Source organism: Homo sapiens, chromosome 5 (assembly GCF_000001405.40).
Source record: "Homo sapiens chromosome 5, GRCh38.p14 Primary Assembly".
Lineage (NCBI taxonomy): Eukaryota > Metazoa > Chordata > Mammalia > Primates > Hominidae > Homo > Homo sapiens.
The window spans coordinates 87,681,290-87,704,207 of record NC_000005.10 but is presented as its reverse complement, the minus strand read 5'-3'; the positions used below and the strand labels follow the sequence as shown (position 1 = coordinate 87,704,207).

Below are 22,918 nucleotides of genomic sequence, written 5' to 3'. Positions count from 1 at the left end.
AAAATGCTAAATTGAGGTAAGAAAGACATTAGTAAAAATCATATTTTTCCCATTCCAAGTTCACAGACCCCTTGAATTCAATCTACAGACCCCTTGGAGATCTATGGGCCTCAAATTAGAAGCTAATTCAATAGAAGTTTATTTCTTGCTCATATAATATTCTTTCATGAAAAGGCAGAGAAGCAGGATTCAGGTGAAGGAGACCTCAGGGGACCAGGGACCAGCTGAAGGACGTTTGCCTTGTTCAAGATGCAGTTTCCAAAGTCATCATCATTGTTCCCATCCAAGCTAGCCAAAAGAGAAGAAGAATATGGAGAGATATATGTGAGAGAATTTTGGGAACCTGGAAATGGTGTACATCATGTCTACTCATATTCTACTGACTAAAACTCAGTGACACGAACATACCTATCTGCAAGGGCAGATGAGGAATATACATAAGCAGTATTCCCATGAAGAAGAAGAGAGTCTGGGCTTTGATGAGTAGGTAATAGTCTTCCATATCACCCATCATATTAGCAATTTCATTTCTAATGACTATACTCAATGAGGTAAAGTTTAGAATGAAGAAATGGGAACTGCTGTGGAAATGAATTGTGTAAAAAGTGCATTTTGAAGAGCAAGCCATCAAGATGAATTGAGTATTTTTAAAATGTTGAAGCACCTTGATCCATTACTTTAATTCCTATGAATTTTTAAGAATATAACACAAACTGAAGAAAAATATACACACGAATTATTCCCAGCAGCATAAGCTTAAATAAAAATACAAGTATTTATTATTATTTATAAGAAATTTACAATAACCAAAAATTCAATTAGCGTTGCCAATGAAATTGAGGTACAATCATATGATAGATTATTATGTTTATAAGCATTTTAATATGTAATAGCTGAAATTTCTTGAATGCTTATTATATGTTAGGCATTGTGCTGATTGCTTTACATACATGCCTTATGTCCTCACAACAACCCCATGAGACACTTTATTTTTCCCATTTCAAGTATGAAGAAACTGAATCTCAGCAAAACTAAGTGCTTTGCTGAGAAATATAAAGCTCTGATAAATCTTGGCTGATTGCTCACCTAGAATCCGTTCTCTCTTCTTGATAAAATCCTAATCTTGCAGGGGGTGGGGGGAAATGTGCTATGTTAAAAATGCTGCACCTCCAGACTAACACAATTGAGGCTAGCTATGTTCCTATCCATGGCCAATGCAATTTAAGAAGGAATTGCCATTATAAAGGAAGACTCATCTGACATGAGCCTGTTCAGACTTCCAACCTTCATCTTTTCACTCTTCTTCTTCTCGCAAAGGAACACTGTAGGGACTCAGCACACTCAGCATGCCTGGGGGCAGTTGACAACAATGGTAACAGTTTGGACTTGTATGCACTCACTTTAGAGTCCCTCCCCTGAGCTCAGCATGAAATGATCAGAAAAATCCATAGCATACAGCTTCTGCCTAGAGAGAGAAAGAGAAGACTAAACATAGATCTAACATTCAGACATTTTTGGGAGCTGCCTGAGGACTGATTTCTGTCTCTCCTGTCTTGGAGCACTGATGGAACACAGCATACTGTGAACAAAAAATAAAAATAGTTGGATGGTGTGTTGCTGCTCCAGAGGACATACAGTACAGTAAACAGACATCAGAGGAAGCAAGATATAATAAACTCCTGAAACAGAAGCTGGAGAACCCCTTTAAATAGAAATTTACATGCACACATCTAGAGAAGTCACATCCACAAAAAAAGTTTGAGAGATCCCTAAAATCTTTAGCTGGGTTGACTGGTGGAGATGGTCTCCTGTAGGAAGCCAATCTATAAACATTGGAAGAAGTGGCTGTTTTTTCAAATGTTTAGACACCAACACAAAATGTCAAGCACAAAGAAACAGGAAAATATGGAGCAAACAAATATAAGTAAATCTTCAGAAAGCCATGCTAAAGAAACAGAGGTATATGAATTACCTAACAAAGAGTTCAAAATAACCATCATAAAAATGCTCAACAAGTTTAAGGAAACAATACATAAAAAAGGAGTATTTCAACAAAAAGATAGAAAATATATATTGTTTTAAAAATCAAACAAAAAATTGGAAATGAAGAGTCCAATAACTGTGATAAAAAATTTCCTAAAAAGGTTCAACGGTTGACTAGATCAAGCAAAAGTATAAGCAAACTTTAAAACAAGCCATTTAAAGTTATCTAGTCTGAGGAACAAACAGAAAATATAATTTTAAAAAGTGAAGAAAGCTCTAGGGACTTATGGGAAACCATGATGTGAACTGATATACACATGGTGGTAGTCTCAGAAGGAGCAGAAAGAGAAAAGGGAAGAATCTTATTTTCTTCAATAGTGGACTTCTCCTACCTGCTGCCTTCTGAAGAAGGTGATTTGCTTCCGCTTCACCTTCTGCCATGATAGCAAATTTTCTGAGGCCTCCCCAGTCATGCTGAACTGATGCTGAGGCTGCAATATCATTAACATGCAAGTATGAGAGGAATGAAGCACCCCATTTTATAAAGACTGTGGCCTATGAATTCTTGTGATAGGGATTATGCTGGATGCACCCAGAAAAATTGGAAGCTTCTAGTTAACTCCACAAAATGTTGTGTGCCTCATGAATAAAGATGCTGGGAGGAGGCACCAAGATGGCTGACTGGAAGTAGCTATCTGTCAGTGGCTCCCACCAAAAAGAAGAAAACCAGCAAGTGAATCCTGCACCTTCAGCTGAGGTAGCCAGGTTCTCTCACTGGGACTGACTAGGCAGTTGGTGTGACCCATGAAGAGAGAGGAAAAGCAAAGTGGAGTGACAGCTCACCTAGGAGCCACACAGGACAAGAGGAATTACCACCCTCAGCCAAGGGAGAAAGTGAGTGATTGTGCTACCCTACCTGGGAAACAACACTTTCTCCACAGATCTGTGCAACCTTCAGATCAGGAGATCTCTTCGTGAGCCCATGCCACCAGGGCCTAGGTTCCCAAGCACAGAGCTGTGCAGATGCTTGATGGCCGCTCAGGTTGCAGCCAGCAGCTGCAGGCTGGATACTGCATAAGATGATTGGGACTGCCTAAGATGACTGCCAAATACTCCCTCCCAAGGGGAGGGGAACAGCCATCACTGTGGCTCCAGTCTGTTGTTTTCCCCTGCTGGTGCCAGAGAGACTGGGTGGTTTGGACCAAGAGGAATTCTCCACAGGGCAGCACAGCGGCTGTGTGCAGATCATGGCCAGACTTCTTGTTTAGGTGGGACTCAGATCCATTCCTTCTCACTGGGTGAAGCCTCCCTGTGGGAATTTCAATAACTCCAGCCAGGGTTTGCAGACAGAACTCTAATCTCCCTGAGATGGAGCCCATGGCAGGAAATGCAGCCATGATCTCCATGGTTCATCAGACTTAACCTCTCTTGTCTGCTAGCCCTGAAGAGTCCAGGCAGTCCAGATGAGGGGGATTCCCTCTGGCACAGCACACTGCTCAGCTAAGGGGCAGCCAGAATTATTTGTTAAGCAAGTCCCTGATCCCATACCTCCTAACTGTGTGAGAACCCCCCAACAGGGGTCACCAGACACCTTATACAGGACCATTCCCACTAACATCAAATTGTTGTCCCTCTGCAACAAAGCTCCCAGAGGAAAGAGCAGGCAGCCATCTTTCTGTTCTGTAGCCTCCACTGGTGACACCTCCAAGTGCAGGAGGGACCCAGGTGAATAGGGTCTGGAGCAGACCCCCAGTAAACTACAGCAGCCCTAGAGAAGAGGGGCCTGACTGTTAAAAGGAAAACAAACAAACAGAAAGCAACAACAACATCAACAAAAAGACCCCACAAAAACCCTATGCAAAGGTCAGCAGCCTCAAAGATCGAAGGTAGATAAGTTCATGAAGATGAGAAAGAATCAATGCAAAAACACTGAAAATTCCAAATGCCAGAGAGCCTCTTCTCCTCAAAATAATCACAACACCTCTCCAGCATGAGCACAGAACTGGGCTGAGGCTGAGATGGATGAACTGACAGAAGGAGGTTTCGGAAGAAGCTAAGAATGATGATATAATATTGCAGGAGTGGCTGGGTGCGGTGGCTCATGGCTGTAATCCCAACACTTTGGGAGGCTAAGGTGGGCGGATTACCTGAGGTCAGGAGTTCAGGACCAGCCTGACCAACATGGAGAAATCCTGTCTCTACTAAAAATACAAAAATTAGCCAGGCGTGGTGGCATACGCCTGTAGTCCCAGCTACTTGGGAGGCTGAGGCAGGAGAATGGCTTGAACCCGGGAGACGGAAGTTGCGGTGAGCCAAGATTGTGCCACTGCACTCCAGCCTGGGCGACAGAAGCAAAGCTCTGTCTCAAAAAAAAAAAAAAAAAAAAAAAAAAAAAAAAAATATATATATATATATATATATATATATATATATATATATTGATTGCAGTAGCTGTTAACCAGAATAACTAATTTAGAGAGGAACATAAATAATCTGATGGAGCTGAAAAACACAACATGAGAACTTCACAATGCAACAACGAGCATCAACAGCTGAATAGGCCAAGCAGAGAAAAGAATCTCAGAGCTTGAAGACTATATTCCTGAAATAAGACAGGCAAACAAGATTAGAGAAAACAGAATGACAGGGAATGAACAAAACCTTCAAGAACTATGGGATTATGTAAAAAGACTGAACCTATGACTGATTGGGGTACCTGAAAGAGATGGGAAGAATGGAACCAAGTTGGAAAACATACTTCAGGGTATCACCCAGGAAAACTTTCCCAACCTAACAAGAAAGGCCAAGATTCAAATTCAGGAAATCCAGAGAACCCTAGTAAAATACTCCATGAGAAGATCAGCCCCAAGACACATAATCATCAGATTCTCCAAAGTTGAAAGGAAGAAAAAAAATGTTAAGGGCAGCCAGAGAGAAAGGTCAGATCACCTACAAAGGAAAGCCCACCATCAGACTAACAGCAGGCCTCTCAGAGGAAACTTACAAGCCAGAAGGGACAGGAGGGCAATAGTCAACTTTCTTAAAGAAAAGAATTTCCAACCTATAATTTCATATCCAGTCAAACTAATCTTCGTAAACAAAGGAGAAATAAAGTCATTTTCAGATAAGCAAAAGCTAAGGGAATTCATCACCATCAGCCCTATCTTGCAAGAGCTCCTGAAGGAAGCATTAAATATGGAAAGGAAAAATTGTTACCAGCCACTACAAAAACACACTGAAGTACGCCTACCAATGTCACTATGAAGCAACTACATTAACAAGTCTGCAAAATGACCAGCTAGAATCATGATGACAGGTTTAAATTCATTAACAAGTCTGCAAAATGACCAGCTAGAATCATGATGACAGGTTTAAATTCATTAACAAGTCTGCAAAATGACCAGCTAGAATCATGATGACAGGTTTAAATTCATTAACAAGTCTGCAAAATGACCAGCTAGAATCCTGACGACAGGATTAAATTCAAACATAAAAACATTAACTTTAAATGTAAATGGGCTACATGTACCAATGAAAAGACAGAATGGCAAGCTGAATAAAGAGTCAAGATCCACTGGTGTGCTGTATTCAAGAGACCCATCTCACATGTAAAGACACACATGGGCGCAAATAAATGGATGGAGGAAAATTTACCAAGCGAATAGAACCAAGTTGCAATCCTGGTTTCTGACAAAACAGACTTTAAACAAAGATCAAAAAAGACAAAGATGGAGATTACATAATGGTAAAAGGTTCAATTCAACAAGAAGAGCTAACTGTCCTAAAGGTATATGCACTCAATACAGGAGGACTCCATAAGACAAGTTCTTAGAGACCTACAAAGAGACTTAGATTCCCACACACTAATAGTGGGAGACTTTAACACCCCATTGTCAATAGTAGACAGTTCATTGAGACAGAAAATTAACAGCTATTCAAGACTTGAACTCAGCTCTGGTTCAAGTGGACCTGAAAGATATCTACAGATCTCTCCACCCCCAAACAACAGAATATACATTCTTCTAAGTGCCACATGGCACTTACTCTAAAACTGATCACATAACTGGAAGTAAAACATTCCTTAGAAAAGGCAGAAGAACTGAAATCATAATAGTCTCTCAGACCACAATGCAATCAAATTAGAACTCAAGGTTAAGAAACTTACTCAAAACCACACAACTACATGGAAATTGAACAACCTGCTCCTGAATGACTCCTGGGTAAATAATGAAATTAAGGCAGAAATTAAGAAGTTCTTTAAAACTAATGAGAAAAAAGAGACAATATACCAGACTCTTAGGGATGCAGCTAAAGCAGTGTTAAGAGAGAAATTTATATCATTAAATGCCCACATCAAAAAGCTAAAAAGTTCTCAAATTTACATCCTAACATCACAACAAAAAGAACCAGAGAAACAAGAGCAAACAAACCCCAAAGCTAGCAGAAGACAAGAAATAACCAAGATCAACACAAAACTGAAGGAGATAGAGATAAAAAAAAAAAAACCTTCAAAAAATCAACGAATCCAGGATTTGGATTTTTAGAAAAAATTAATAAAATAGACTGCTAGCTATATTAATAAGAAAAGAGAGAAGAATCAAAGATAGACACAATAAAAAGTGATAAAGGGGATATCACCACTGATGCCACAGAAATGCAAACAACCATCAGAGAATACTATAAACACCTTTATGCTAATAAACTGAAAAATCTAGAGGAAATGCATAGATCCCTGGACGCATACACCCTCCCAAGATTAAACCAGAAAAAAGTTCAATCCCTGAATAGTCCAATAACATGTTCTAAAATTAAGGCAGTAATAAATAACCTATCAACCCAAAAAAACACAGGACTAGATGGATTTGCACTGAATTCTACCAGAGGTACAAAGAGGAGCTGGTTCCATTTCTTCTGAAACTATTCCAAACAATTGAAAAGGAAGGACTTCTATTATAGTTTGAAGTCAGGTAGCGTGATGCCTCCAGCTTTGTTCTTTTGGCTTAGGATTGTCTTGGCAATGCGGGCTTTTTTTTGGTTCCATATGAACTTTAAAGTAGTTTTTTCCAGTTCTGTGAAGAAAGTCATTGGTAGCTTGATGGGGATGGCTTTGAACTTATAAATTACCTTGGGTAGTATGGCCATTTTCACGATATTGATTCTTCCTACCCATGAGCATGGAATGTTCTTCCATTTGTTTGTATACTCTTTTATTTCATTGAGCAGTGGTTTGTAGTTCTCCTTGAAGAGGTCCTTCACATCACTTGTAAGTTGGATTCCTAGGTATTTTATTCTTTGAAGCAATTGTGAATGGGAGTTCACTCATGATTTGGCTCTCTGTCTGTTATTGGTGTATAAGAATGCTTGTGATTTTTGCACATTGATTTTGTATCCTGAGACTTTGCTGAAGTTGCTTATCAGCTTATGGAGATTTTGGGCTGAGATGATGGGGTTTTCTAGATATACAATCATGTCATCTGCAAACAGGGATAATTTGACTTCTTCTTTTCCTAATTCAATACCCTTTATTTCCTTCTCCTGCCTGATTGCCCTGGCCAGAACTTCCAAAACTATGTTGAATAGGAGTGGTGAGAGAGAGCATCCCTGTCTTCTGCCAGTTTTCAAAGAGAATGCTTCCCATTTTTGCCCATTCAGTATGATATTGGCTGTGGGTTTGTCCTAAATAGCTGTTATTATTTTGAGATACATCCCATCAGTACCTAATTTATTGAGAGTTTTTAGCATGAAGGGCTGTTGAATTTTGTCAAAGGCCTTTTCTGCATCTATTGAGATAATCATGTGGTTTTTGCAATTGGTTCTGTTTATATGCTGGATTACATTTATTGATTTGTGCATGTTGAACCAGCCTTGCATCCCAGGGATGAAGCCTACTTGATCATGGTGGATAAGCTTTTTGATGTGCTGCTGGATTCGGTTTTCCAGTATTTTATTGAGGATTTTTGTATCAATGTTCATCAGGGATATTCATCTAAAATTTTCTTTTTTTGTTGTGTCTCTGCCAGGCTTTGGTATCAGGATGATGATGGCCTCATAAAATGAGTTAGGGAGGATTCCCTCTTTTTCTATTGATTGGAATAGTTTCAGAAGGACTGGTAGCAGCTCCTCCTTTTACCTCTTCTAGAATTTGGCTGTGAATCCGTCTAGTCCTGGATTTTTTTTCGTTGGTAAGCTATTAATTGTTGCCTCAATTTCAGAGCCTGTTATTGGTCTATTCAGAGATTCAGCTTCTTCCTGGTTTAGTCGTGGGAGGGTGTATGTGTCGAGGAATTTATCCATTTCTTCTAGATTTTCTAGTTTATTTGTGTAGAGATGTTTATAGTATTCTCTGATGGTAGTTTGTATTTCTGTGGCATCAGTGGTGATATCCCCTTTATCATTTTTTATTGCATCTATTTGATTCTTCTCGCTTTTCTTCTTTATTAGTCTTGCTAGCGGTCTATCAATTCTGTTGATCTTTTCAAAAAACCAGCTCCTGGATTGATTGATTTTTTTGGAGGGTTTTTTGTGTCTCTATCTGCTTCAGTTCTGCTCTGATCTTAGTTATTTCTTGCCTTCTGCTAGCTTTTGAATGAGTAAGCAAAACAGCATAGTAGTGGTACCAAAAGAGAGATATAGACCAATGGAACAGAATAGAGCCCTCAGAAATAATGCCACATATCTACAACTATCTGATCTTTGACAAACCTGACAAAAACAAGAAATGGGGAAAGGATTCCCTATTTAATAAATGGTGCTGGGAAAACTGGCTAGCTATATGTAGAAAGCTGAAACTGCATCCCTTCCTTACACCTTATACAAAAATTAAGTCATGATGGATTAAAGACTTACATGTTAGACCTAAAACCATAAAAACCCTAGAAGAAAACCTAGGCAATACCATTCAGGACATAGGCATGGGCAAGGACTTCATGTCTAAAACACCAAAAGCAATGGCAACAAAAGCCAAAATTGACAAATGGGATCTAATTAAACTAAAGAACTTCTGCACAGCAAAAGAAACCACCATCAGAGTGAACAGGCAACCTACAGAATGGGAGAAAATTTTGCAACCTACTCATCTGACAAAGGGCTAATATCCAGAATCTACAAAGAACTCCAACAAATTTACAAGAAAAAAACAAACAACCCCATCAACAAGTGGGCGAAGGATATGAACAGACACTTCTCAAAAGAAGACATTTATGCAGCCAAAAGACATGAAAAAATGCTCATGATCACTGGCCATCAAAGAAATGCAAATCAAAACCACAATGAGATACCATCTCACACCAGTTACAATGGCGATCATTAAAACGTCAGGAAAAAACAGGTGCTGGAGAGGATGTGGAGAAATAGGAACACTTCTACACTGTTGGTGGGACTGTAAAGTAGTTCAACCATTGTGGAAGTCAGTGTGGCGATTCCTCAGGGATCTAGAACTAGAAATACCATTTGACCCAGCCATCCCATTGCTGGGTACATACCTAAAGAATTATGAATCATGCTGCTATAAAGACACATGCACACGTATGTTTATTGCGGCACTGTTCACAATAGCAAAGACTTGGAACCAACCCAAATGTCCAACAATGATAGACTGGATTAAGAAAATGTGGCACATATACACCATGGAATACTATGCAGACATAAAAAAGGATGATTTCATGTCTTTTGTAGGGACATGGATGAAGCTGGAAACCATCATTCTCAGCAAACTATCGCAAGGACAAAAAACCAAACACTGCATGTTCTCACTCATAGGTGGGAATTGAACAATGAGAACATGTGGACACAGGAAGGGGAACATCACACCCCAGGGCCTGTTGTGGGGTGGGGGGAGTGGGGAGGGATAGCATTAGGAGATATAACTAATGTAAATGACGAGTTAATGGGTGCAGCACACCAACATGGCACATGTATACATATGTATAAAACCTGCACATTGTGCACACGTACCCTAAAACTTAAAGTATAATAATAAAAGGAAATGAAGGACTTCTCCCTGACTGATTTTATAAGGCCAGCATGTTCCTGATACCAAACATAGCGGAGATACAACAACATAAGAAAACTTCAGGCCACTATCCCTGATGAACATCAATGCAAAAGTCTTCAATAAAATACTGGGAAACCAAATCCAGCAGCACATCAAGAAACTTATTCAGCATGATCAAGTTGGGTTCATCCCAAGGATGCAAGACTGGTTCAACATATGCAAATCAATTAATGGATTTCATCACACAAACAGGACCAATGACAAAATCCACAAAATTATCTCAATAGATGCAGAAAAGGCCTTCCATAAAATTCAACATTGCTTTATCTTAAAAACTCTCAAGAAATTAGGCACATTGAAGGAACATTCCTCAAAATAATGAGCCATTTATGACTAATGCACAGCCAATATCATACTGAATGGGCAAAAGCTGGAAGCATTCCCCTTGAAAACCAGCAGAAGACAAGGATGCCCTCTCTCATCATTCCTATTCAACATAGTATTAGAAATTTTGGCCAGGTAAATCAGGCAAGAGAAAGAAATAAAGGGTATTCAAATAGGAAGAGAAAGAAGTTAAATTGTCTCTGTTTGGAGATGACATGATCCTCTATCTAGAAAACCCCATTGTTTCAACCCAAAAGCTTCTTAAGCTGATGAGCAACTTCAGCAGAGTCTCAGGATACAAAATCGATGTGCAAAAATCACAAACATTCCTATACACCAACAACAGCCAAGCAGAGAGCCAAATCATAAATGAACTCCCATTTACAATTGCTACAAAGAGAATAAAATACCTAGGAATACAGCTAACAAGAGAAGTGAGGGACCTCTTCAATGAGAGCTACAAACCACTGCTCAAGGAAATCAGAGAGGACATGAACTGGTGAAAAAATATTCCATGCTCATGGACAGGAAGAATCAGTATCTTGAAAATGGCCATACTGCCCAAAGCAATTTATAGATTCAATGCTATTCTCATTAAATAACCATTGACATTCTTCACAGAATTAGAAAAAAATACTTTAAATTTCATATGGAACCAAAAATGAGCCTAAATAACCAAGACAATCCCAAGCAAAAAGAACAAGGCTGGAGGCATCACACTACCCGACTTCAAACTATACTACAAGGCTACAGTAATAAAACAGCATGGTACTAGTACAAAAACAGATACTTAGACTAATGGAATAGAATAGAGAAATCAGAAATGAGACCACATATCTACAACCATCTGATCTTTGACAAATCTCACAAAAACAAGCATGGGGAAAGGATTCCTATTTAAGAAATGACGCTGGGAGAACTGGCTAGTTATATGCAGAAAATTGAAACTGGACCCCTTCCTTATACCTTATACAAAAATTAATTCAAGATGAATTAAAGACTTAAATGTAAAACCCAAAACTGTAAAAACCCTAGAAGAAAATCTAGGCAATACCATTCAGGACATAGGTAATGGCAAAGATTTCATAACGAAAACCTCAAAAACAATTGCGACCAAAAAATTGACAAATGGGATCTAATTAAACTAAAGAGCTTCTGCACAGCAAAGAAAATGATCATAAGAGCAAACAGACAACCTACAAAATGGAAGAAAATTTTTGCAATATATCCATCTGACAAAGGTCTAATATCCAGAATCTACAAGGAACTTAAGCAAATTCACAATAAATAAACAAGCAACCCTATTAAAAAGTGGGCAAAGGACACTTTTCAAAAGAAGACATACATGCAGCCACCAAACATATGAAAAAAAGCTCAACATCACTGATCATTAGAGACATGCAAATTAAAACCATAATGAGATACTATCTCATGCCAGTCAGAATGGTGATTGTTAAAAAGTCAAGAAACATCAGATGCTGGTGAGACTGCAGAGAAATAGGAACGCTTTTCACTGTTGGTGGGAACGTAAATTAGTTCAACCATTGTGGAAGATAGTATGGTGATTCCTCAAAGCTCTAGACCCAGAAATACCATTTGACCCAGAAATCCCATTACTGGGTGTATACCCAAAGGAATATAAATCATTCTGTTATAAAGATACATGTACACATTATGTTCACTGGAGCACTATTCACAATAGCAAAGACATGGAGTCAACCCAAATGCCCATCAATGATAGACTGGACAAAGAACATGTGGTGCGTATATACCAAGGGATACTATGCAGCCATAAAAAGGGATGTGATTGTGTCCCTTTTTATGGACATGGATGGAGCTGGAAGCCATTAACCTCAGCAAACTAACACAGGAACAGAAAACCAAACACCACATGTTCTCGCTTATCAGTGGGAGTTGAACAATGTGAACACATAGACAAAGAGAGGGGAACAACACACACTGGGGCCTCTCAGGAGGGGCCGGGAAAAGGGAGAGCATCAGGAAAAATGGCTAAGGCATGCTGGGCTGAATATCTAGGTGATGGGTTGATAGGTGCAGCAAATCACTACAAAATAATAATTGAAACACCAGGAAGATAACAAAAGAGAGACAAAAAAGCTACAAAATAGACAAAAAAATTAATAAAATGGCAATAATAAATCCTTACCTATCAATATTACTTGTAAATAGATTAAACTCCCCCATCAAAAGGCGCATAGTGGCTGAATGGATACAAGAAAACTCAACGTTTTACTGTCTATGAGAGAATAATTTTAGATTTAAAGACACACAGACTGAATGATAAAAGGTGGAGAAAAGGTATTCTATGGAAATGGTAACCCAAAGGGAGCAGGGATGGCTGTGTTTATATCAGACAAAATAGACTTAAGTAATAAACTGCCACAAGAAACAAAGATGGACATTATATAATCATAAAAGCGTTAAATTGCCAGGGAGATAAAACAATTACAAAGCATATACATCTGTCATCAGAGTACCTAAATATATAAAGGAAATATTGACATAACTGAAGAGAGAAACAGCAATACAATAATATTAGAATACTTCAATACCCCTCCTTTCAATAAGGGATAGAATATTCAGACAGATAATTAATGAGACAGCAAATCTGAAAAATAACATAGATCAAATGAACCTAACAGATATATACAGAACATATCATCCAACAGCAGCAGAATACACATTCTTCTCAGGCATACTTGGAACATTCTTCAAGATAGATTACATGTTAGGTCACAAAATAAGTTAACAAATTTAATGAGATTGAAATAATACAAAGTATTTTTGTGACCACAATGGAATGAAACTAGAAATCAACAAAAGAAAGAAAACTGGAAATTTTTCATTAATATGTGGAAAGTAAAAAATATATTCTTGAACAGCTAATGGATCAAAGAAGAAATCAAAAGCAAAATCGGAAAATATTTTGAGAAAAACAAAAATGAAATACAACATACCAAAACCTATGGAATGCAGCAAAAGCAATACTTAGAAGTTTATAGCAGTAAATGCCTACATTAAAAAAAGAAAGATATCAAATAAACAACCTAATTTTGCACCTCAATGACCACAAAATTTAGTAGAAGGGGAAAAACAAAGAAGCTTAGAGTAGAAATAAACAAAATGGGAAATAAAAAACAATAGAAATTATGTGATAAAACTGAGGGTTTTTTTGAAAAGATAAAATTGACAAAATTTTAGCCAGAATTACCAAGAAAGAGAAGAGAAAAGACTCAAATAAAATCAGAAATGAAAAAGGAGACATTACAGGAAGCTGAGGCTGCGCACGGTGGCTCACACCTGTAATCCCAGCACTTTGAGAGGCCGAGGGGGGCGGATCTTGAGGTCAGGAGATCGAGACCATCCTGGCTAACACAGTGAAATCCCGTCTCTACTAAAAATACAAAAATTATCTAGGCGTGGTGGGATGCACCTGTAGTCCCAGCTACTCGGGAGGCTGAGGCAGGAGAATTGCCTGAACCTGGGAGGCAGAGGTTGCAGTGAGCCGAGATCACGCCACTGCACTCCAACCTGAGAGACAGAGTGAGACTCCATCTCAAAAAAAAAAAAAAAAAGGAAGCTGGGCATGGCGGCACGCACTTATAGTCCCAGCTACTTGGGTGGCTGAGGCATGGCATTGGAATTGCTTGAGCCCAGGAGTTCAAGGCCAGCTTGGGCAACAGAGTGAGACCTTGTCTCAAAATAAAATAAAATAAAAGAAGAGACATTACAATTGATACTACAGAAATAAAAAGTATCAAAAAGATTACTACGAATAATTATATGCTAACAAATTAGATAAGCTAGGTGAAATGGATGTTTCTATTATCACCCAATGTACCAAGACTGAATCATAAAGAAATAGACAATCTGAACAGACCTATAGGTTATAACCAGTAAGAAATTGAATAAGTTATCAAAACCTCTTGACAAGGAAAAGCCCAGAACCAGATGGCTTCATTGGTGAAATCTACTAAACATTTAAAGAAAGTTAATACCAATTTTTCTCAAATTCTTTCAAAAATTGAAGAGAAATGAACACTTTTAAACTTATTTTTTATGGCCAACACTATCCTGATAGTAACATGAGACAAAGACACTTCAAGAAAAGAGGACTATAGGCCAATATCCCTAATGAACATAAATAGAAAAATACTCCACAAAACATTAGCAAACAGATTCAATAGCACATTAAAAGAATCATACACCATGATTAAGTGGGAGTTATCTCTTTGATGCAAGAATGGTTCAGCATTTAAAAATCAATTAATGTAGTGATATACTATATTAGTAGAATAATGGATAAAACTCACATGATTATCTCAATAGATAAGAAGAAGCACCCGACACTTTTTACAAATAACACTCAATAAACTAAAAATAGAAGGAAATTACCTTAACATAATAAAGTCATATATGAAAAGCCCACAGCCAACATCATGCTCAATGATGAAAAACTAAAATCTTTTTCTCTAAGATTGGGAACAAAGCAAGAATGTCCATTCTTACCACTTCTATTCAATGTAATACTGGAAGTCCTAGGGAAAGCAATTAGGCAAGAGAAAGAAATCAAAGAAATTCAAATCAGAAAGGAAGATGTAAAATTATCTCTGTTTGCAATGACATAATCTTATGTGTAGAAAAAAAGACTCCATAAAAAACTATTAGAACTAATAAATGAATCTGGCAAAGTTGCAGGACAGAAGATCAACATACAAAAATGAGTTGTATTTCTATACACTAAAAATGAATTATCCAAAAAGAAAATTAAGGAAACAAGCCCATTTAAAAGAGCATCCAAAAGAATAAGACAGCTGGGCGCGGTGGCTCACACCTGTAATCCCAGCACTTTGGGAGGCCAAGGTGGGCAGATCATGAGGTCAGGAGATCGAGACCATCCTGGCTCACATCGTGAAATCCTGTCTCTATTAAAAATACAAAAAAATTAGCCGGGTGTGGTGGCAGATGCCTGTAGTCCCAGCTACTTGGAAGCCTGAGGCAGGAGAATGGCATGAACCTGGGAGGTGGAGCTTGCGGTGAGTGAGCTGAGATTGCACCACCACACTCCAGCCTGGGCGACAGAGCGAGACTCTGTCTCAAAGTAAAAAAAAAAGAATAAGACAGAAACTTAACTGAGGAAGTGAAAGACTTGTACACGGAAAATCACAAAACATTGATGAAAGAAATTTCAAAAGACAAAGAAATGGAGAGACTTTCCATGTTCATGAATTGGAAGACTTAATATTGTTAAAATGTACATACTATTGAAAATGATCTACAGATTCAATGCAATTTCTATCAAATCTTAATGGAATGTTTTACAGAAATAGTAAAAACAATTCTACAATTCATATGAAACCACAGAGGACTTCAAATAGCCAAACCATCTTGAGAATGAACAAAGCTAGAATTCTCACACTTGAATATGTAATTTCAAAGCACATTACAAAGCTACAGTAATTAAAACAGTGTGGTACTGGAGTAAAAATAGATATATAGACTGATAGAACAGAATAGAGAGCCCAGAAATAAACCTATACATATACAGTCAACTCATATTTGACAAGTATGCCAAGAATACGCAATGGGAAAAAGTCTCTTCAACAAATGGTGTTGGGAAAACTGAATATCCACATACCAAAGAATAAAGTTGGACTCTTTCTTACATAACCCAATACAGAAAAATCAACTCAAAATGGAGTAAAGGCTTAAATATGATACCTGAAACTTTAAAGCTCCTAGAAAGAAACAAAGGGGAAAAGCTTTATGACACTGGTCTTATCAATTATTTCTTTTACAAAATGCCAAAAGCACAGCCAACAAAAAGTAAAAATAGACGTGGCACTACACCAAACTACATCAAGCTTCTGTACAGCAAAGGAAACAATCAGCAGAATGGAAAAGTAACCTACAGAATGAGAAAAAAATATTTACAAACCAAGTATCTGATAAGGAGTTAATATCTTAAATATATAAAGAACTTCTACAACTCAATAGCAATAAAACCCTTATAGTTTAAAAAATGGACAAAGGACTTAAACATGCAATTTTCCAAGGAGACACAAAATGGCCACAAAAATATGTTAAGATGCTCAATATTACTAATCATCAGGGAAATGCAAATCAAAACCACAATGACATATAACCTCACATCTGTTGGGATACTCATTATGAAAAAAAACAAGTATTGGTGAGGATGTGGAGAAGTTGGGATTGATGTGCACTCTTGGTTGGAATGTGAAATGGGGCAGCTACTGTAGAAAGTATGAAGATTCCTCCAAAATTTAAATGTAGAACCACCGTAAGACCCAGAATTTCCACTTCTGGGTATATATTTCTAAAACAACTGAAAGCTGGATTTTGAAGTTACTTGCACACCCATGTTCATTGCAGCATTATTCACCATGCCCTATATGTCCATCAACAGATGAATGGATGAGGAAAATGTAGCATATACATACAATAAAATGTTATTGTCCTTAAAGCAAGAAGGCAATCCTATCATATGCAACAACATGTATGAACCTTGAGAACATTATGCTAAGTGAAATAAACACATCACAAAAAGGCAAATAACATATGATTCCACTTATACAAGGCATATATAGTAGTCAAACCCACAGAAACAGAAAGTAGAATGGTGGTTGCTGGGCTGGAAGAGGAAGTGAAGAGTCATTGTTCGATGGGTATAAAGTTTCAGTTATGCAAGATGAAAAAGTTCTAGCAATCTTCTGTACAACACCATGCTTATACCTAACAATATTGTTGTAATTAGTTTAATATAATTATAATTAGTTTAATATAATTATAATTAAAATTTTCAGAGGGTAGATTTCATGATATGTAGGTTTTTTTTAACCACAATAGCAACAACAAGAAAATTCAAGTCTGAAGTCTGTAACACATGTTCAGCATATATATGGGTGTTGAAGTGGGCTGACATCCAGTGTAAAAATATAGACATGATATATTTCTGTTTATCTACATTATTGACAACCATACTTTTTTTATTGTACTTTAGTGGTACAGCTTAGGATTAATCATAACCTATAGTTTATAATGTGGTCTTATCATTGGTTCATATATAGCCTATGTTTTAGTTATTATTTAATTAGTTATTTTAAGTAATAAATAAACACATGTCACTCACAACAAAAGCCAGAAACTTGATAATCTTATATAGCACATGATTTTCCCCAACAACACATTTCTTTGCTACTGTCTTGATCTCATTTTCATTAGAATGTCAATAGACATAATTTTGTTTCACAAACAGTGTTTCCATGTTTTCAAATAAATTTTGAAAACCATTCTTCCATCTTCATATTCATTTTCAAAAGAGTACTTTGGTTGCTTTAAATTAAAATGATACAGCATTTTTCTGTCCTAGAACTAAATGTAATGTCATGTTTGAAATGTAATTCAAGTAAATAGTTATAAAATTATTGAACAAGTTTTTATGGCTTTGTAATGCAAACAGATTGAAATGATATAGCCTTTCAGATCTAGCAAATATAAAATTGCCATGAATCTTGTAACTTGCTCTAAAGTAGTAAAAGAGAAAAGGGACTTATAACAATAGTAGGCTTCTTTTAGTTAAGTTCAGTAAATATTTATTAAGTATCTACCAAATAGGAAGTATAGAGTTTGACATTGGTGGTAGTGGTGGTTCAGCATAGCTAAGATAATGATCTCTAGGTGAGGAGTTTAAATTTTAATAGAGGAGAGGCACATGCCACAAATAACTGTGATTCAAGATAAAATGACACAAATTCTAAATGTTAAGTAAAATCAAAGTAAAGGTAAGCAATTATAATTCTGAATTGAGGATGGAATCAACACTTAAGGAGGATTTTTTTTCTTTGAGACAGTTTCACTTTGTCACCCAGGCTGGAGTGCAGTGGTGTGATCTCAGCTCACTGCAACCTCCACCTCCCGGGTTCAGAGTTCAAGTGATTTTCCTGCCTCAGCTTCCCAAGTAGCTGGGATTACAGCCACATGCCACCACACCTAGCTAATGTTTGTATTTTTAGTAGAGATGGGGTTTCACCATGTTGTCCAGGCTGGTCACGAACTCCTGACCTCCAGTGATCCACCCGCTTCGGCCTCCCAAAGTGCTGGGATTACAGGCATGACCAACTGTGCCTGGCCTTCAGGAGGATTTTTATAGCTGAGTAGGATCCAAATAGGTCTAAGTGAGAAGGGGATAAAAATACAGGAGAAAGAGTAGTTCCAAAATGTTATTTTAAAGCAGGGTGACCAGTTCATCCTTGTTTGTTTGGTACTTTCCAGTTTTAGTACTGAAAGTCCCATGTTGCTATGATCTGAATGTTCATATCCCCCCAAATTCATATGTTGAAATCCTCACTGCAATGTGATGATATTAGGAGGTGAGGCCTTTTGGAGTGATTGTATCATCGGGGTGGAGCTCTCATGAAAAGGATTAGTACCCTTATGAAAGAGGCCCCAGAGAGACCCCTCACCCCTTCCACCATGTGAGGTTAGAGTGAGCAGATGGTTGTCTATGAGGAAGAGGGCCCTCACCAGACATCAAATTGCCAGTGCTTTGATTTGAGACTTCCCAACCTCCAGAGCCATGAGAAATAAATGTCTATTGTTTATAAGTTACCCAGTTTATTATATTTTGTTATAGCAACCCTCATGGTCTAAGACACATGTCATGGGCAAAGGGCAAACCCAGATGGTTGATCACCTAGAGAACAATCAACACCTTTCCTGCCATTCCTTCTAACTTCACAAACAGCAAAACACACACAGTCCCATATGGCCAGACCTTAGGTGTCAGCTTTAGGAAACTTCAGGCAGCTTTCCCTGTCTCTACCACATTTTCTGAGAAGTGAGGTTTAAGACTCCAAAGTTCCTTATCTTTCCCAGTTACCTCCAGCTGCACTTCTCTTACCAAGATTAATGATTCTTTAAGCCTACTCTGGTCCCAAACTCTTTTACTAATAAGACGTCAAATCCTGGCCTTTTCCCGATGACCACCTACCATTATCTCACCTCTGCCATACCTTATTCTTGCTGAGCTTTCATGATGTTCTTATCAGCACCTTTGGTCCCTCAACCCTCTCCAGATTCTCCCAACTTGTCAGCCCAGTTCTTGTTTACTGAGATTACCCACATATTAACATTGTTGAGATAAAGCAATTTAGAGTCAGATAGGTTAATTTTTCATCCATCTCTGCCTGTTACTACTATCCATATGAGCTTAAGCAGTAGAGTTAATTTCTCTGAACCTGTTTTCTCAGTTGGAAAATAGGAGATAATACTCTTTCCTATTTCATGGAATCGTTATGGGATTAAATGATATCACTCACAAAATACATTTTTAAAAGAAACAAGTTTTAGAATTGTATGTATAGTCTGACTATAATTTTGTGTAAACATGTATACCAAGTGTGTTTTTCTGTATAAATATTTATAAATGCAATAAAAAGAAGAATAAAATGAAACTCGACAAGGGAGAGATTTCAGAAGGGGTATGGAAAAGGAAATAAATATGAAGAAAATTATCTCCACGTTTCATCTTTGAATTTTGTAAATATTAAACCATGAGCACAAGTTATTTCAAAATTAAGATATAGAAAAAATTAGGAGAAAAATAAACAAACATAAAAACTTCACAGGGGATTTCACACTTGACTGAATCTTAAAAACTGGATGCTTCGTACCTGGGAAATAAGAAAGAAAAAGATGTTCCAGCAAAGAGAGAGAGAGTGGTGTGAGCCACTGAGTAGATAACACAATGCTGCCAGGACCCTGATGAAGTTGGAATGATGAGGGACTGGGTACATTGAGAGAGATGTGAGTGGGAGCATTATAAGGAATAAGTTTGGAGTCTAGAGACATGGCTGGGGCCAGATCTGGGAGTCACCAGAAATGAGGCTGGAGAGATGGCTGGGGCCAGATTTGGGAGGGTCATTAGAAATGAAGCTGGAGTAATGGCTCAGGCCATATCTGGATGCCCTGTGAATGCAATACTATGTAATTTAAACTTTATCCTCAAATTAATGGGAAAGTATTGAAGGGTACTAAGAATGGGAAAAATAATGGAAGCTGTAGTTTAGAGAAAAAAAACTGTGTTAAGGATTGATCAGAAGGAGTAGTCAAAGCTGCAGGCTGGAAAAGAAAATCACAAACTCTTCCAGTAGTCATAAAAAGAGATGCTGAAAGCTAGGACCAAAGCCAAGGCCAAATAATATGTTTTTTATGCTGTGACTACAATTAACAGGTAACATATATTGCGATAGTTCTTAATAGCTAACATTTATTTAGCCAAGCTTAAATTGGCTAAACACTATAAATGGATATCTCAATTATTTCTCACAGCTCAATAAAATAGATACTGTTAATATTTCTGTTATATAAATGATGAAACACAGACTCAGAGAGATCGATACTTGCCCAAACACACCTATATGATAAACAGTGTCACCAGGATCTAATCCATACAGCCTGGTTCCCTGGTCACACTTTCAACCTGCATGTCATAAAGCCTACACCTAAAGTGTCCTCGATGTCAAAGAAAAAGTGCACCAGACAGAATTAAACAGGCAGAGAAGACATTATTCAAGACTTTTGCAATAGGGGAAAAAGACTAAACTTAACTCCACTGAAACAAAAGACAGGAGGAGTTAGTGAGTTAGTGAAAAACAAGTACTGGAAGATGTTAGAAAGGAGGTTGATCAATGCAGTGAGGCCATCTGAGTTTGCTAATTGTTGCTTATTGAAGAAGTTAGGCCCCTATCTTCTCACAGAGACTGGGGGATGGGAGTGCAATCTTTTTCTGGTGATTATATTTCAAAGACATGGCTTCCAGATCCATGAAAAGACATTCCTAAGTTGTAAAACTGGCCAGGGGCTCAGAGGAAATTTACATATCAAAGGAACAGAAAAACATTATATTTATTATTTTTATTTTTTCCATTTTTTTAAGATTCAGATGGTTCATGTGCAGGTTGTTACATGGGTATATTGCATTGTGCTGAGGTTTGGGCTTCTATTGATCCTGTTGCCCAGACAGTGAACATATCACCCAATAGGAAGTTTTCAGCCCTTCCTCCTGTCTTTTGGGGTCCCCAGTGTCTACTGTTCTCATATTTATGTCCATGTGAACCTAAGATTTAGCTCCCACTTGTAAGTGAAACATGTAGTATTTGGTTTTCTGTTCCCATGTTAGTTCACATAGGATAATGGCCTCCAGCTGCATCCATGTTGCTGCAAAGGACATGATTTCACTCTTTTTCATGGCTGTGTAGTATCTGTGCAGTATATGTACCAGATTTTCCTTATCCAATCCACCACTGATGGGCACCTTAGTTGATTCCATGTCTTTGCTATTGTGAATAGCATGGCAATGAACATCCAAGTGCAGGTGTCTTTTGGTAGAATGTTTTATTTTTCTTTGAGTATACACCCAGTAATGGGATTGCTGGGTCAAATGGTAAATCAACAAGCAAAAACCAAATAACCAGATTAAAAAATGGGCAAAGGATATGAACAGACACCTCTCAAAAAAAGATATACAAGTGGCCAACATACACATGAACAAATGTTCAACATTACTAATCATCAGAGAGATGCAATTCAAAACCACAATAAGAGACCATCTCACACCAGTCAAAATGGTCATTATTAAAAAGTAAAAAAAATAATAGATGTTGGGACAGTTGTGAAGAAAAGGGAAGGCTTAGCCACCGTTAGTGGAAATGCAAATTAGTTCAGCCCCTGTGGAAAGCCGTTTGGAGATTTCTCAAAGAGCTAAAAATAGAACTACCATTCAACCCAGCAACCCAGTTACTGGGTGTATACTCAAAGAAATATAAATCGTCTACCAAAAAGGCACACATAGTCACGATTGGTGCAGCACTATCACAATAGCAAAGACATGGAATCAACCCATCAACAGTGGATTGGATAAAGAAAAAGAACATAATTGCAGATTATCTAAAGTAAATGCTCTAATAAAAAGATCAGGAGCCTATAGTCAAGAAGAAACCTGTCTGAAGTTCAGTCAAGGTGAGGAGAACCCTAAAGTATTCTTCATCATCGATCATTCTGAAATATGGGATTCAGTAATTCAGTGTAATTTAAACTTAATTCTACTGAGGAAATTCATGCAAATGGCATGTAAGTCACTAATATACATAACCTATTTTAAAATTATAATATTTACATGTACATTTTAAAAGTTAACACACCAATATACATTACAAAATTTAATATACATCTTTGAAGTAAAATTTTCTGTTTTATAGGCATTTTAAAACAGCACGTAGAAATGAACCTGATGATTCAATAACAACAAAGATAATAGCCAATATTTATTCAGTATTTACTATGTGTCAGACATTGAGCTAAATTTTTTCTTACATGCTCCTAAGAACAATCCTGGGAGGTAGGTACAACAGTATCTTCATTTTATGGATGAGGAAACCTGTTCTTAGAAGGTCACACAATTTATGCATTGAGCCATAAGTAAGACTGGCTACCTAGTTTGTCAGACCCAGTGAAAAA

At 37.5% G+C, this 22,918-nt stretch overlaps 1 long non-coding RNA gene across 1 annotated transcript in view; it reads left to right on the top strand.

Annotated features, from left to right (window-relative positions):
- LINC02144 (long intergenic non-protein coding RNA 2144) overlaps positions 1–22,918 on the top strand; it is a 75,109-nt gene that overhangs the window by 28,869 nt on the left and 23,322 nt on the right. The window lies entirely within an intron of this gene.